This window comes from Homo sapiens, chromosome 9 (genome assembly GCF_000001405.40).
Source record: "Homo sapiens chromosome 9, GRCh38.p14 Primary Assembly".
NCBI lineage: Eukaryota > Metazoa > Chordata > Mammalia > Primates > Hominidae > Homo > Homo sapiens.
This window is the reverse complement of record NC_000009.12, coordinates 64,692,438-64,705,733: the sequence shown is the minus strand read 5'-3', so window position 1 is coordinate 64,705,733 and position 13,296 is coordinate 64,692,438. Positions and strand designations below refer to the sequence as shown.

General features: G+C 39.1%; 1 pseudogene across 1 annotated transcript in view, besides 1 other annotated feature; it reads right to left on the bottom strand.

Moving 5' to 3' along the window:
- LOC101929583 (methylenetetrahydrofolate dehydrogenase (NADP+ dependent) 1 like pseudogene) overlaps positions 5,273-13,296 on the bottom strand; it is a 60,728-nt pseudogene continuing 52,704 nt past the window's right edge. The window contains exon 4 of the transcript NR_136299.1: positions 5,273-5,522. The product of NR_136299.1 is annotated as a methylenetetrahydrofolate dehydrogenase (NADP+ dependent) 1 like pseudogene (transcript). The remainder of the gene's footprint in view (positions 5,523-13,296) is intronic.
- Positions 6,569-7,477: an enhancer, noted in NCBI's record as "OCT4-NANOG-H3K27ac-H3K4me1 hESC enhancer chr9:69710675-69711583 (GRCh37/hg19 assembly coordinates)". NCBI's record gives its function as "activates a minimal SCP1, AML or CMV promoter by ChIP-STARR-seq in primed H9 embryonic stem cells {active_cell/tissue: H9 hESC(primed)}" and the evidence as "EXISTENCE:reporter gene assay evidence [ECO:0000049][PMID:30033119]".

Below are 13,296 nucleotides of genomic sequence, written 5' to 3'. Positions count from 1 at the left end.
GTACTGGTCGTGTGTGTGTTAGTGGAGATGAAGCCTGTGCTCTACAGACAGGGAGTCACACAGACACTTTTCTATAATTTCTTACATACTTTGAATGTTCAAGTATAAAGTCTAATGTTAAATTTGATTGAACAATTGTATATTTGTGGGATATTTTGGAATGGAACACCAAAAAATGGTAATAGTGGTTCTTTCTGGATTGAAGGAAAACTTTTCTTTTTTAAAATAAATTTTATTTTATATATTTGAGGTTGACAACATGATCTTAAAGGATACATATAGATAGTAAACTGGTTACTATAGTGAAGCAAATTAACATAGCTACCATCTCACATAGTTAGATTTTTGTTTGTGTGACAGGAACAGCTAAAATCTACTTATTTAACAAAAATCCCAAAGACAATATATTTTTATTAACTATTGCCCTCATGATGTACACTAGATCTCTAACTTGTTCATCCTACATGTCTGCTACTTTGTATTATTTTAATGTACATCTCCCCATTTCCTATTGGTCATTTCCTATTTGGCCCATTTTTCAACTGGGTTGTTTTTCTGCTCTTAAGTTGTAAGAGTTCTTTACTGATTTTTGGATATTAACACTTTATCAGATATGTGGTAGCAAATATTTCTTCCAGTCTGTAGGTTCCCCTTTCATTTTGTTGGTTGTTCCTTTGCTGTGCAGAAGCTTTTTAGTTTGATGCAGTCCTCCTTGTTTATGTTTACATTTGTAGCCTGGCTTGTGGTGCGATATCCAAAAAATTATTGCTAAGGCCAATGTCAAGAGGCTTTCCCCCTATGTTTTCTTCTAGGAGTTTTATGGTTTCAGGTCTTATTTGGGTCTTTGGTCTTGTATCTGTTTTGAGTTGATTTTTGTGTATGGTGTATGATCAGGGTCCAATTTTATTCTTTTGCATGTGAAAATCCTATTATTGAAGAGACTATCTTTTTTACCATTGTGTTGTCTTGTTTGCCCTTGTCAAAAATTAGTTGACAGTATATGTTTGGATTTATTTCAAAGGTCTCTGTTACGTTCCATTGGTCTATTTTTTTGTTTTTATGCCAGCACCATACTGTTTTGATTACTATAGCTTTGTAATGCAATTTTAAATCAAGAGGTGTGATGCCTCCAACTTTTTCTTTCACAGTGATCTGTTGGCTGTTTGGGGTTTTTTGTGGTTCCATATGAGTTTCAGGATTGTTTTTTCTTTTCTTTTCTTTTTTTTTTTTTTTTTGAGGTGAAGTCTCACTCTGTCACCCAAGCTGGAGTGCAGTGGCATAATCTCGGCTCACTAAAACCTCTGCCTCCTGGATTCAAGCAATTCTTCTGCCTCAGCCTCCCAGGTAGCTGGGACTACAGGCACATGCCACTATGCCCGGCCAATTTTTGTAGTTTTAGTAGAGACAGGGTTTCACTATGTTGGCCGGGCTGGTCTCCAACTCCTGACCTCATGATCCACCCGCTGCAGTCTCCCAAAGTGCTGGAATTACAGGCGTGAGCCACTGTGCCTGGCCAGGATTGTTTTATTCTGTTCTGTGAAGAATGTCATCAGAACTTTGATGAGGATTGTGTTAAATCTGTATATTTGCTTTGGGTAGTGTGAACATTTTAACAATATTAATTCTTCTGATCCATAAACATAGGATGTCTTTTCATTTGTTCATGTCTAAATTTCTTTCATCAATGTTTTATGGTTTTTAAGTGTACACATCTCTCACCTTCTTGGTTAAATTTATTCCTAAGTTTTTGTTTTTCTTTGATGCTATCGTAAATGAGATTATTTTCTTGATTGCTTCATCAGCTAGGTTATTTGTATACAGAAATGCAACTGATTTTTATATGTTGAGTTTATACCTTGCAGCTTAACTGAATTGATTTAGTAGCTCTCACAGTTTTTTGTGGACTCTTTGGAGTTTTTTACGTAAAGGATCTTGTCATCTGCAAATAGAGATAATTTTACTTCTTTAATTTAGTTGCCTTTTTTTTCTCATCTGATTGCTCTTGCAAGTACTCTGTTGAATAAAAGTGATGAGGCTGGCCATCCCTATCTTGTACTCAATCTTAGTGGAAAAGCTTTAGTTGTTCCCCACTAACTATGATTAGACTGTGGGTTTTTCATAAATGGTGTTTATTATGTTGAGGAACTTTCCTTCTATACATAAACTATTAAGAGGTTTTATCAAGAAATGTTGCTAAACTTTGTTAAATGCTTTTACTGCATCAATTGAGGTGACCATGTCATTTTATCTTTCATTTTGTTAATGTGATGTATCACATTGATTGATTTACATATTTTAAACCAGCCTTGCATGCCAGGGATAAATCCCACTTAAACACGATGTATAATGTTTTTGATGTGTTGTTGAATTCTATTTGCTAAAATTTTTTTAGGATGTTTGCATCAGTATTTAATTTATTGGAGAAGTTGACCTGTAGTTTTTGTTCGGTGTGTGCGTGTGTGTGTGTGTGTGTGTGTGTGTGTGTGTGTGTGTGTGTTTTGGTTTGGCTTAGGTATTAAGGTGATACTGGCCTGGTAAAATGTGTTTGGAATTATTTCCTCTCACTCTGTTTTTGCGAAGAGTTTAAGAAGTAAACTCCCAGGGGATGGGAGTGACTCTGGACATGGGAGTGACATGATAGTGACTCTGGACCCTGCAGTGGTGGGACACAGCAGCATCTCAGTCTCTGAAAGGCCAGGCACAGCATCAGCAAGGACCCCAGAATGGTGGAGCACTACTGTGGCTTGAGCCCTCGGGGGCAGGGACCAGTACAGCAACTACTTCTCTCCCTGGGGAGGCAGGTGCCTGGGCAACTCAGATTCTCCAGGGCTAGTCCAGTTCCAAGGAAGCAGGGTTCTACAGTTGTTTGTCCTGAAGGGCAAGGTACCCCAGTTCAGCCAATGCCGTTTTCCTGGGATATGGGGGTGCCATGTTGGCTCATCCCTGGCAGGTGTGGCTGCTCAGCTCAGCCAAGACACTGATTCTCTGTGAAGCAGGGCAGTGCTTCAGCTCTCATGCAGTGGGGGGTGTGACTGCTTAGACTGGCCAAGACACTGATTCCCTGGAAAGCAGGGCACCAAGTCAGCTCAGGCTCCAAGGGGCAGGGCGCAATGGCAGCTGGGAGGGGAGGGGCACAGCAGCGTGGCCCCGCAGGTGGGGTGTGTGCTGTGATGTGGACATCATTTGTTCCCACCAGCCATTTGAAATTTCATCCATTTGAAATTTGATTTCAAATGTGGTGGTGTGGGAGGTGGGGCCTAGTGGGAGTTATTTGAGTCACAGGGCAGATCCTTTATGAATAGATTAATGCCTTTTCATGGGACTGGATTAGTTACCAGGAGTGGATTGTTATCAGAGTGAGTTCAGCTTCCTAGACTCTTGTGTTTCCTCTCTTGCCATGTGAGCCCCTTGCATACACCTGTTTCGCCTTCCACTTTCCCCATGAGATGAAGCAGCACAAGACCCTCACCAGTTGTGCTGCCCGATCTCGGACTTTTCAGACACAAGCAGGGTGAGCCAAATAAACCTTTTTTATAAAATAAGTTACCCCGAGTCTCAAGTATTCTGTTACAGCCACACTAAATGGCCTAAGACAGTGTAACAGCGGCTCAGGGGTGGTGAGCCACTAGGTGGGTGTGATATAGAGCAACAAAGCCTGAGGATGGAAGAAGGGTGCGGTGGCTGCTCACCCTGGGTGGGACATGCTCCCGAAGTGGTCCAGGTCCAGGAGGGCACGTTGCAGCAGCAGCTGGTCCATGGGGGTGGGGCACAATGTCAGTTCCTTCTCTGAGGGGAGTGCTGGGGCTACTGGGCCCCTCTTGCTTCCTTATTCCTGCAGGGAGACATCCCCTCTGCTTCAGGCTGATCCCTCTGGGGGAATGGGTGGTGGGGGCCAGATGTTTCCTTCCCTCCTTTATGTGACCGTCCTGTTTTCCGGGCTCTACTGGATTTCTGCTACTCCTTGATGCACTCTGGGGCTCTCCTTTAGTGACTTTCATCAAAATATAGCTGTTTGCTGCTTTGGCTGTCTTTGTCAGGGGATGAGTGCAAGGGGCTATTGATCAGCCCTTAGCTGGCATCACTCCCTCTTAAACTTTTCACTGGATACTCTTTTGAACTGTTTTTTTCCCCCACCATATACATGTATTTTTTAAACGCTAATGTGCTAATTTCTACTGAAGCAATGTGGATTTTTCTGAAAGCTTTAATGTTTTAATAAGCTTTTTATTGAAATGTTAATGTACATACAGAAGAGTGCCCGAATCATAAGTGTGCATCTAGATGAACTGTAGCACACCAGGCTGCCACGCCCTGGACCAAGCAGTAGCCTTGACCTGTGGCCTCTCCCAGGCACTGCTGCCCCAACCCACAAAATAGCTACTTTCCCAGTTCCTGATGTAGATTTGTTCTGCCTGGTTTTGACTTCTATAAAATACAGCACATTCTATTTAGCCTGGCTTCTTTGGTTCAGTATTACAGAACACATCCATGTTCTTGTCTATGGCAGACATTGATTTATCGTCATTGTTGAGTTCCATTATATGACTGTGTCACCATTTTTCCATTGATGAGTAAAATGATTTCCTATTTTTGGCTGTTATCCCACAGCCCTGAACAGTAGGTCTGCATATGGGACTTGCAGGTATGCAGGGGCACACCCACTTCTGCTGGAGGATCCCTGGGTGGGGTGGAGACTCCAGGGCACCTGTGCTCTGCTTCAGTGTGGAGGCTTCTGTGTTGTGTTCTGGGAGCACAGTGGCTTGGCCTCCGCCACCAGCAGCAGCTTGAAGAGTTCCTGCTGTTCCACATGCTTGCCAACAATTGGCCTCTTCAGTTTTTTTTTTTTTTTTTTAGGTTTTCAGTGCCTGCCTGGACTTGTGTTTTCATTTAGATTTTGGTTTCTTAGAACTTTCGTTATTCTCTTCACAGCTTAACAATGCATTTGAAAAGATTTGTTTTCATGTGGAGTATTCAGTTTTGTAATAGGAGGGTTGTTCAAGGCATCAGTCTGCCACTCTGCTAGAAACAGAATTCTCCCAGGCATTTCTTTTTATATAAAGTAGTTAATGAAATTTTGAACCATCTTACATGAATTTTTATTAAAATACACTTCAGGATGTGGTGCCCATTATCCATTCTACTCTTTTGTAACAAGTAGATTTCTCTGAATTCTTGAATTTGAAAACAATTGGGGTTCCTAAACAGAGAATATGGAATATTATTGGGGATGATGTCTTTAATAATACATCTCAAGATAGGAGAAACTTTTTCTATATAGTTGACTTTAATAAAAGCCTAGGGCAAAACTTTCAATATATTAACAGTATTTATGAGGCAGTTAAGAATTTGGGTCATCTCTGTCTCCACTAAAAATACAAAAAGTTAGCCAGGTGTGGTGGCGGGTGCCTGTAGTCCCTGCTACTTGGGAGGCTGAGGCAGGAGAATGGTGTGAACCCGGGAGGTGGAGGTTGCAGTGAGCCGAGATCATGCCACTGCACTTTAGCCTGGGCAACAGAGCGAGACTGCGTATCAAAAAAAAAAAAAAAAAAGAATTTGGGTCATCTCAATTAAACATAGAATTTAAGATTACATTGAAAATTCAGTACAGAGTATTTTGCCTTCATCTGTTGTTTGAGTCTCCCTTCTTTCAGCCATCCTTCCATCAGAAATAGAATACCAAGTTAAACTTCTTAATTAGAATCAGGAATCAGGACTCTTTGGCTGCTGATTGAAGGAAGAACTGTCCTTAAATCCAGAGTGGGCCGGGCATGGTGGCTCATGCCTGTAATCCTAGCACTTTGGGAGGCCAAGGCAGATGGATCACCTGAGGTCAGGAGTTCAAGAGCAGCATGACCAACATGGTGAAACCCCATCTCTACTGAAAATACAAAAATTAGCCGGGCGTGGTGGTGTGTGCCTATAGTCCCAGATACTTCGGAGGCTGAGATAAGAGAATTGCTTGAACCTGGGAGGTGGAGGTTATGTGAGCCAAGATCACGCCACTGCACTCTAGCCTGGGCGACAGGGCGAGACTCCATCTCAAAAAAAAAAAAAAAAAAAAAAAATCCAGAGTGGTTGGTAGTCAAGACAAAAAGCTAGATTATTTTTGTTAGTCTGGGAACTAAAAAAAATAGTTGTAACTTTGAAGCCTTTTTATGGATCAACATGAAGATTGAGGGATCTCAAACAGAAAGGGCATCCTGGTGGCAAAGGTTAATCATTACCAGACTGCAAGAGTAGTTTCAATGGCAAGAAAGCAGCAACAGAATCAATGAAAACAAAGCAATGATTAGAATGCCCTTTCCCCTTCTCCTCCTGACTTGTAGACACTGATTGTCTTCCTTGGACTTAGGGAACCCCTTAGGTTCTTGAAAAATTCAATGATCAGGCTATAGTAGATGGTCCCCAGTACACAGCACAAGATTTTTTGATAAACTGGACATTTTGAAACCCAAATAACTAATTAGAAAAATCAAACATGTGAAACTACTTTATCCCATGCATAGGGGTTATACTGGAAATAAAATGTACAACATTGGAATCCTGAAGGAGAAAAGTCCTAAAAGTTTCAATATCAAGAATCCTGCACCTGCTGCTACTTATCTAGCCTTTTGCTTGATTTCTGGCTGATGAACTTGCACAACTCTTGAAAACTTAAAAACTTGAAAATTTGTCACTTGAAAACTACTTGAACCAAACTATGAAATCTCACCTGATATATAAGATGCAATTGTTACAATTATTTTAAACTTCAATTTACTGTTTTGCTCTATCAAAAGAAAGTTTCAACTCTGTTAGTTGAGTACACACATCCTAAACAAGTTTCTGAGAATGCTTCTGTCTAGTTTTTATGGGAAGATATTTCCTTTTTCACCTTAGGCCTCAATGCGCTCCAAATGTGCACTTCCAGATACTACAAAAAGAGTGTTTCAAACCTGCTCTATGAAAGGGAATGTTCAACTCTGTGACTTGAATGCAAACATCACAGAGATGTTTCTGAGAATGCTTCTGTCTAGATTTTATATGAAGATATTCCCGTTTCCAACGAAATCCTCAAAGCTATCCAAATATCCACTTGCAGATTCTACAAAAAGAGTGTTTCAAAACTGCTCTATCAAAAGAAAGGTTCAACTCTGTCAGTTGAGTACACACATCACAAACAAGTTTCTGAGAATGCTTCTGTCTAGTTTTTATGGGAAGATATTTCCTTTTTCACCATAGGCCACAAAGCGCTCCAAATGTCCAGTTGCAGATACTACAAAAAGAGTGTTTCAAACCTGCTCTATGAAAGCGAATGTTCAACTTTGTGACTTGAATGCAAACATCACAAAGACGTTTCTGATAATGCTTCTGTCTAGATTTTATCTGAAGATATTCCCGTTTCTAACGAAAACCTCAAAGCTATCCAAATATCCACTTGCAGATTCTACAAAAAGAGTGTTTCAAAACTGCTGTATCAAAGGAAAGGTTCAACTCTGTGAGTTCAGTACACACATCACAAGGAAGATTCTGAGAATTCTTCTGTCTAGTTTTTATGGGAAGATATTTCCTTTTTCACAATAGTCCTCAACGCCCTCCGAGTTTCCATTTGCAGATTCGACAAAAAGAGTGTCTTAAAACTGCTCTGTGAAAAGGAATATTCAACTCACTGAGTTGATTGCAAGCACCAAAAAGAAGTTTCTGAGAATGCTTCTGTCTAGTTTTTATGTGAAGATATTCCCGTTTCCAATGAAAGCTGCCAAGCTATCCAAATATCCACTTGTAGATACTACAAAAAGACTGTTTCAAACTGGTGTATCAAAAGAAATGTTAAACTCTGTGAGTTGAGTACACACATCACAAAGAGGTTTCTGAGAATGCTTCTGTCTTGTTTTTATGTGAAGATATTCCTGTTTCCAACAAAATCCTCAAAGCTATCCATATATCCACTTGCAGATTCTACAAAAAGTGTGTTTCAAAACTGCTCTATCAAAAGAAAAGTTCAACTCTGTGAGTTGAGTACACACATCACAAAGAAGTTTCTGAGAATTCTTCTGTCTAGTTTTTATGGAAGATATTTCCTTTCTCACCATAGGCCTCAAAGCGCTCCAAGTTTCCACTTCCATATACTACAAAAATTGTGTTTCCAAACTGCTCTATGAAAAGGAATGTTCAACTCAGTGAGTTGAATGCAAGCATCACAAAGAAGTTTCTGAGAATGCTTCTCTCTAGTTTCTATGTGAAGTTATTCCCGTTTCCAATGAAATACTCAAAGCTGTCCTAATATCCACTTGTAAAGTCTACAAAAACAGTTTTTCAAAACTGCCTTATCAAAGGAAAGGTTTAACTCTGTAAGTTGAGTAAACACGTCACAAAGTAGTTTCTGAGAATCCTTCCGTCCACTTTTTAGGTGAAGATATTTCGTTTTTCACCATAGGTCTCAAATCGCTCCAAATGTCCACTTGCAGATTTCACAAAAAGAGAGTTTCAAAACTGCTCTATGAAAGGGAATGTTCAACTCTGTGAGTGGAATGCAAAGATAACAAAGAAGTTTCTGAGAATGCTTCTGTCTAGTTTTTACATGAAGATATTCCCCCTTTACAACGAAAGCCTCAAAGCTATCTAAATATCCACTTGCAGATTCTAAAAAGGAGTGTTTCAAACGTGCTGTATCAAAAGAAAGGTTAAACTCTGTGAGTTGAGTACACACATGACAAAGAAGTTTCTGAGAATGCTTCTGTCTCGTTTTTATGTGAGGATATTTCGTTTTTTACCATAGGCCTCAAAGCGCTCCAAATGTCCACTACCAGATACAAAAAAAAAGAGTGTTTCAGAACTTCTGTATGAAAAGGAATGTTCAACTCTGAGAGTTGAATGCAAACATCACAAAGTGGTTTCTGAGAATGCTTCTGTCTGGTTTTTATGTGAAGATAATCCCGTTTCGAATGAAATCCTCAAAGATATCCAAATATGCACTTGCAGATTTTACAAAAAGTGTGTTTCAAAACAGCTCTATCAAAAGAAAAGTTCAACTCTGTTAATTGAGTACACACATCACAAAGAAGTTTCTGAGAGTTCTTCTGTCTAGTTTTTATGGGAAGATATTTCGTTTTTCACCATAGGCCTCAAAGCGCTTCAAGTTTCCACTTACAGATTCTACAAAAAAAGTGTTTCAAAACTACTCTATGAAAAGGAATGTTCCACTCAGTGAGTTGATTGCAAGCACCACAAGGAAGTTTCTGAGAATGCTTCTGTGTAGTTTTTATGTGAAGGGATACCCGTTTCCAACGAAGGCCTCAAAGCTGTCCAAACATCCACTTGCAAATACTACAACAAAAGTGGTTCCAATCTGCTCTATCAAAAGAAAGATTCAACTCTGTGAGTTGAATGCACACATCACAAAGAAGTTTCTGAGAATGCTTCTGTATAGTTTTTAATTGAAGATATTCCCGTTTCCAACGAAATCCTCAAAGCTATCCAAATATCCACTTGCAGATTCTACAAAAAGAGTGTTTCAAACCTGCTCTATCAAAAGAAAAATTCAACTCTGTGAGTTGAATGCACACATCACTAAGAGGTTTCAGAGAATGCTTCTGTCTAGTCTTTATGTGAAGGTATTCCCGTTTCCAGCGAAGGCCTCAGAGCGGTCCAAATATCCCCTTACGAAGTCTACTAAAAGAGTGTTTCAAAACTGCTCTATGATAAGGTATGTTCAAATCTGTGGGTTGAATGCAAACATCACAAAGAAGTTTCTGAGAATGCTTCTGTCTAGTTTTTATTTGAAGTTATTTCCTTTTCCACCATTGGCCTCAAAGTGCTGCAAATGTCCACTTGCAGATTCTACAAAAAAGTATTTCAAACCTGCTCTATCAAAAGAAAGGTTCAACTCTCTGAGTTGAATGCACACATCACAAAGAAGTTTCTGAGAATTCTTCTTTCTGGTTTTTATCTAAAAATATTTCCATTTCCACCGTAGGCCTAAGAGCGATCCAAATGTCCACTTGCAGATTATACAAAAACAGTGTCTCAAAACTGCTCTATCGAAAAGAAGGTTCAACTCTGTGAATTGAATGCACACATCACAAAGAAGTTTCTGAGAATGCTTCTGTCTAGTGTTTATGTGAAGGTATTCCTGTTTCCACCGAAGACCTCAAAGCACTCCAAATATCCACTTGCAGATTCTACAAAAAGTGTGTTTCAAAACTGTTCTGTCAAGAGCAATGGTGAACTCCATGAGTTGAATGCACAAATCACAAAGAAGTTTCTGAGAATGCTTCTGTCTAGTTTTTGTGTGATGATATTTCCTTTTCCAACATAGGCCTCAGAGCAGTCCAAGTATCCACTTGCAGATTCTACAAAAAGAGTGCTGCAAAACTGCTCTGACTAAAGGAATGTTCAACTCTTTGAGTTGAATGCACACATCACAAAGTAGTTTCTGTGAATGCTTCTATCTAGTTTCTGTATGAACATATTTCCTTTTCTACCATAGGTCTCAAAGCGCTCCAAATATCCACCTGCAGATTCTACAAAAAGAGTGTTTCAAAACTGCTCTACCAAAAGGAAGTTTCAACTCTCTGAGTTTAATGCAGACAGCACAAAGAAGTTTATCTGACTACTTCTGTGTTGTTTTTATTTAAAGATATTTCCTTTTCCAACACAGAGCGCAAAGGGCTCCAAATATCCACTTGCAGTTTCTTCAAAAGAGAGATTCTAAACTGCCCAATCAAAAGATAGGTTCATCTTTGTGAGTTGAATGCATACATCACAAAGAAGTTTCTCTGAATGGTTCTGTGTAGTTTTATTTAAAGATAATTCCTTTTCCACCATAGGGCACAAATGGCTCCAAATATCCACTTGTAGATTCTACAAAACCAGAGATTCAAAACTGCTCATTGAGAAGATAAGTTCGACTCAGTGATTTGAATGTACACATCACGAAGAAGTTTCTTAGAATGTTTCTGTGCAGTTTTTATTGAAGATATTTCCTTTTCCACCATAGGGCGCATTGGGCTCCAAATATCCTCTTGCAGATGCTAGAAAAAGAGAAACTCTAAACTGCTCAATCAACAGATAGGTTCAACTCTGTGAGTTGAATGCCCACATCACAAAGAAGTTTCTCAGAATGCTTCTGAGTAGTTTTTATGTGAAGATGTTTCCTTTTCCACAATAAGCAGCAAAGTTCTCCAAATATCCACTTGAAGATTCTACAAAAACGGTGTTTCAAAACTGCTCAATGAAAAGAAAGTTTCAACCCTGTGAGATGAATGCACACATCACAAAGAAGTTTCTCAGAATCCTTCTGTGTTGTTTTTATGTGAAGATATTTCCTTACCACTGTGGGCCTCAGTGGGCTCCAAATATCCACTTCCATATTCTACAAAAAGAGTGTTTCAAAACTGCTCAATCATGAGATAAATTCATCCCTGTGAGATGAATTCACACGTCATGAAGTAGTTTCACAGAATGCTTCTGTGTAATTTTTATGTGAGGATATTTGCTTTTCCACAGTAGTCCTCAAAGGGCTCCAAATATCCACCTGCAGATTCTGCAAAAAGAGAGATTCAAAACTGCTGAATCAAAAGATATTTTCAACTCTGTGAGTTGAATGCACACATCGCAAATAAGTTTGTCTGAATGCTTCTTTGTAGTTTTTATTTCAAGATATTTCCTTTTGCACCATAGGGCTCAAAGGGCTCCAAATATCCACTTGCAGATTCTACAAAAAAAGAGATTCAAAACTGCTCAATGAGAAGATAAGATCAACTCTGTGAGTTGAATGCACACCTCACAAAGAAGTTTCTCAGAATACTTCTCTGTAGTTTTTATGTGAAGATATTTCCTTTTCCACAATAGTCCTCAAAGCTCTCCAAACATCCACTAACAGATTCTGCAAAAAGAGAGATTCAAAACTGCTCAATCAAAAGATAGGTTCAACTCTGTGAGTTGAATGCACACATCACAAAGAAGTTTCTCAGAATGCTTCTGTTTAGTTTTTATGTGAACATATTTGATTTTCCACAGTAGGCCTCACAACGCTCCAAATATCCACTTGCAGATTGTGCAAAAAGAGAGATTCAAAACTGTTCAATCAAAAGATAGGTTCAACTCTGTGAGTTGAATGCATACATCATGAAGAAGTTTCTGAGAATGCTTCTGTATAGTTTTTATTTGAAGTTATTTCCTTTTCCACAGTAGGCCTCGAAGGTCTCCAAATATCCACCTGCAGATTCTGCATAAAGAGAGTTTCAAAACTGCTCAAACAAAACATAAGTTCACCTCTGTGAGTTGAATGCACGCATCACAAAGCAGTTTCTCTGAATGCTTCTATGTAGTTTTTATTTGAAGATATTTCCTTTTCCACCATAGGACGCAAAGGGCTCCTAATATCCACTTGCAGATTCTACAAAAAGAGAGATTCAAAACTGCTCAATCAAAAGATAGGTTCAACTCTGTGAGTTGAATGCACACATCACAAAGCAGTTTCTCTGAGTGATTCTGTGTAGTTTTTATGTGAACATATTTGATTTTCCACAGCAGGCCTCAAAATGCTCCAAATATCCACTTGCAGATTCAGCAAAAAGAGGTATTCAAAACTGCTCAATCAAAAGATAGGTTCAACTTTGTGAGTGGAATGCATACATCAGAAAGAAGTTTCTCTGAATGGTTCTGTGTAGTTCTATTTGAAGATAATTCCTTTTCCACGATAGGGCACAAAGGGCTCTAAATATCTACTTGCAGAATCTACAAAACCAGAGATTCAAAACTGCTCATTGAGAAGATAAGTTCAACTCAATGAGTTGACTGTACACATCATGAAGAAGTTTCTTAGAATGCTTCTGTGTAGTTTTTATTGAAGATATTTTCTTTTCCACCATAGGGTGCAAAGGGCTCCAAATATCCACTTGCAGATTATAGAAAAAGAGAGACTCTAAACTGCTCAATCAAAAGGTAGGTTCAACTCTGTGAGTTGAATGCCCACATCACAAAGAAGTTTCTCAGAATGCTTCTGAGTAGTTTTTATGTGAAGATGTTTCCTTTTCCACAATAGGCGGCAAAGTTCTCCAAATATCCACTTGCAGATTGTACAAAAATGGTGTTTCAAAACTGCGCAATGAAAAGAAAGATTCAACTCAGTGAGATGAATGCACACATCACAAAGAAGTTTCTCAGAATCCTTCTGTGTTGTTTTTATGTGAAGATATTTCCTTTCCACTATAGGCCTCAATGGGCTCCAAATATCCACTTCCATATTCTACAAAAAGAGTGTTTCAAAACTGCTCAATCATGAGATAGATTCAACCCTGTGAGATGAATGCA